At 36.9% G+C, this 2,686-nt stretch overlaps 1 annotated feature.

The window, feature by feature from the left end:
* Positions 1,013 to 1,213: a silencer, noted in NCBI's record as "peak1429 fragment used in MPRA reporter construct". NCBI's record gives its function as "represses an SCP1 promoter by STARR-seq MPRAs in K562 erythroleukemia cells {active_cell/tissue: K562}" and the evidence as "EXISTENCE:reporter gene assay evidence [ECO:0000049][PMID:32103011]".

A 2,686-nucleotide genomic window follows, 5' to 3' on the forward strand; every position in this document is an offset into this window, starting at 1 on the left:
CCTGTTATGAATATCTCTTGGGCATGAAATTCAGCATTTGTTGTTCACTACAATAAGTCCAGCATCTATCACATTCCAATAATTATAATAAATATCTACTAATAAATCAATACTGGCATCCTGTTTTTATTCTTCTTTGCTTTATTTTGTTTCACAGATATTGAAGTTTTTACAAATTGAAGGTTTGTGCCATCCCTGCATCAAGCAAGTCTATGGGTGCTATTTTCCTGACAGCATTTGCTCACTTTCTGTCTCTGTGTCATGTTTGGGAAATCCTCCCAATATTTTAAATTATTATTAGATCTATTATGTTTATCTGTGATAAGTGATCTTTGATGATACTATTGTAATTGTCTTGGGATGCTATGAACTGCCCCCGTATAAGACAGCAAACTGAATCTATAAACTGGTGTGTTCTGGCTGCTCCACTGACAGGCCGTTACCTTATCTCTCTGCCTCCCCTTGAGCTTCGCTATTCCCTGAGACACAACAATGTTGTCATAAGGCCAATTAATAACGCTACAATGGCCTCTAAGCATTCAAATGAAAGAAAGAGTTGCACATCTCTCACTTTACATCAAAAGCTAGAAATAATAAAACAGTGAGAAAGACGTGTCAAAAGCTGAGGTAGACTGAAAGCAAAGCCTCGTGGGTCAAACAGTTAGCCAGGCTGTGAATGCAAAACAAAAGTTCTGAAAGGAAATTAAAAGTGCTACTCCAGTGAACACACAAATAATAAAAAGTCACATAGACTTATTGTTGATATGGTGACATTTGTAGTGTTCTGGATGGATCAAGCCTGCCGCAACATTCCATTTAGCCAAAGCCTAATCCACAGCAAGGCCCTTACTCTTGTCAATTCTATGAAAACTGAGCGAGGTGAGGAAGCTGCAGAAAAAAGGTGGAACCTAGCAGAGGTTGCCTCATGAGGTTTAAGGAAAGAAGTTGCTCCTATAACATAAAAGTGCAAGGTGAAACAGCAAGTGCTAATGTAGAAGTTACAGCAAGTTATCTAGAATATCTAGCTAAGATCATTGATGAAAGTGGCTACACTAAACAGCTTTTTCAGTGTAAACAAGACAACCTGTCATTGTAAGAAGATGCCATCCAGGACTTTCATAGCAAGAGAGGGGAAACCAATGCCTGGCTTCAAAGCTTCAAAGGACAGGCTGACTCATTTGTTAGGGGCTCATGCATTTGGCGATTTTAAGTTGAAACCAATGCTCATTTACCATTCTGAAAATCCTAGGGTCCTTTAGAACTGGTCAAGTCTACCCTGCCTGTGCTTTAGAAATGGAACAATAAGTCTAGAGGATAACTGTTTTACAGCATGATTTCCTGAATATTTTAAGCTCACTGTTGAGATCTTTCACTCAGAAAAAAAAAAAAATTCTTCAAAATATTTCTGCTGATTGACAATGTACTTTGTCACCCAAGAGCTCTGATGGAGATCTACAAGGAGATGAATATTGTTTTTATGTCTGCTAACATGACATCCATTCTGCAGCTCATAGATCAAGAAGTAATTTTGACTTATTATTTTAAAAAATCCATTTCATAAGGGCATTGCTACCATAGATAGTGATTCCTTTAATGGATCTAGGCAAAGTAAATTGAAAACCTGGAAAGGATTCATCGTTCTAGATGTCATTAAGAACACATTTGACTTATTGTCAGAGGCAAAAGCATCAACATTAACAGGAACTTTAAAAAGAAGTTGATTTCCAACATTCATGGAGAACTTTGAGGCATTCAAGACTTCAGTAGAAGAAGTAACTATAGATGTGGTGGAAATGGTAAGAGAACTAGAATTAGAAATGGAGCCTGAAGATGTAATCAAATTGCAGTAATCTCTTGATACAATTTGAGCAGATTAGGAATTGCCTCTTCTAGGTGAGCAAAGAAAGTGGTTTCATGAGATGGAATCTACTCCTAGTGAAGATTCTATGAACATTGTTGATAGGACCACAAAGGTTTTAGATTACGTACACTTTCTCAGCAAAGCAGTGGCAGGGTTTGAGAGGATTAACTCCTCCTTTGAAAGAAGTTCTACTGTGGGTAAAATGTTGCTAAAAAGCATCACATGCTACAGTGAAATCTTTTGTGAAAGGAAGGGGCAGTTACAGCAAACTTCATTATTGTCTCATTTTAAGAAATTGCCACAGCTACCCCAATGTTCAGCAACCACCACCCTAATCAGTCAGTGGCTGTCCACATCAAGGCAAGACCTTCCACCAGCAGAAAGATTATGACTCACTGAAGGCTCAGATGATCTTTATCATTTTTAAACAGTAAAGTCTTTTTTATTTAAGGTGCATACATTGTTTTAAGACATAATGCATTACACAGTTAACATACTATAGTGTAAACATAACTTTCATATGCACTTGGGAACCAAAAAATTTGTTGTGTCTCACTTTATTGCGATATTAGCTTTAGGCAATGGTCTGAAGCCAAACCTGCAATACCTCCGAGACAAGCCTGTAAAATAATCAATGCACATGTAAATATTAGAGACTCTGATGTTCCACTATCAATGACATTCCAATGTAGGGCTATTGTTTCTGAGATTGGGGCGAAATTTCTGAGTCATTCAGAGAAAAAAATAATCAATTGGTAAACATGAAATTCAATGAAATAATTAATCTACTGCCAAAAAACTTTTTCTTAAACTTTTGTCTTTAAC

The sequence above is a fragment of the Homo sapiens genome, chromosome 11 (assembly GCF_000001405.40).
Source record: "Homo sapiens chromosome 11, GRCh38.p14 Primary Assembly".
Lineage (NCBI taxonomy): Eukaryota > Metazoa > Chordata > Mammalia > Primates > Hominidae > Homo > Homo sapiens.